This window comes from Homo sapiens, chromosome 3 (genome assembly GCF_000001405.40).
Source record: "Homo sapiens chromosome 3, GRCh38.p14 Primary Assembly".
In the NCBI taxonomy this organism is placed as follows: Eukaryota; Metazoa; Chordata; class Mammalia; order Primates; family Hominidae; genus Homo; species Homo sapiens.
In genome coordinates this window covers 28,171,565-28,172,643 of record NC_000003.12, presented here as the reverse complement: position 1 = coordinate 28,172,643, position 1,079 = coordinate 28,171,565, and the positions used below count along the sequence as shown (strand labels likewise).

Genomic DNA, 1,079 nt, shown 5'->3' with positions numbered 1-1,079 from the left:
TAGAGGCAAGGATAGTATAAATCCCTTGGCCCTTTACTTAGACATAGGCTGTTAAATAGTAAGTAAACTAAGGAAAGAGAAGGCAGAAAAAATGTTTCATTAATCATCACTGCATCAAAACAATTCTAATGAACCCATTTTAAAGGAAAGAGCTGAACAATTTCAGTTGTGTGTTGCTCCAATAAAAAAGCATTTGCATTTGAAGAAAGAAAATTGTTTCTCTCATTCTAATTAAACCAAATTAATATTAAGATATTTCAAATGGCTACCTGCAAGTATTGTCATCAGGCACCTAGTTTCATCATGTTCTTTGGTTTTAAAGTGAATTACTTTTGCAATAAAGATAAAATGTATTATTCTCCTTTCATTGTGACATTTACTCTGAGCCTGTTTATACCAATGCAGCTGCTGTGTAAGTCAATGCCTTTCCTTTCTTTTTTCTTTCACTTTTCATTTTAAAGGCATATATGCAAGTCATCTGACCCAGGTTGTACATGAGCTGTACGGCATATGGTTGGGGGAAAAAACATCCTATCTTTTGTTCAATAGTTTTTGTATTTTTTCCAGTCTTTTGCTTTTCTGGTCCTCAAATAAGGCTAATTACAAAGAAAAAAAAGGTGGGACTGGTGGAGAGGGAGCCTTTAAAAACCATTCCTTTTGCAGCATGGAACAAAAGAGAGTACCAAGGGCATGACTAGGCCTCAACAAAAAAGAAAAGAAAAAAAAAACACCTAATGAGGATGTCGAGATAAGTGCTTGTGAAGAAAACCGGCAAAAAAGAGCTTTTAGTCTAAAATCCATAAATAAGTGTGCATCAGATGGGTACTAGGACATTTTTAACAAGACAGGCCATGAAAACTATATCCTTCTATGCAAGAGCTGCATGCCTTAAAAAAACCTTCTTTCTTTACAAGACATTTTTCTTTCAAAAATTAATTTAAAAAGAAATACTTGAAAATTAAGATGTTTTATTCATGTCTCTGAATCCATTATGCACTGGATACCATATAAAGAGTTATTTTTGAGACATCATTATGAAGGCTGTTAGGCTTCTTAGGGGTCAAAGGTTTTGCGTGAGT

At 33.9% G+C, this 1,079-nt stretch overlaps 1 annotated feature.

The window, feature by feature from the left end:
* Nucleotides 369-458: an enhancer, noted in NCBI's record as "active region_19620". NCBI's record gives its function as "activates an Ori minimal core promoter by ATAC-STARR-seq in GM12878 lymphoblastoid cells {active_cell/tissue: GM12878}" and the evidence as "EXISTENCE:reporter gene assay evidence [ECO:0000049][PMID:35858748]".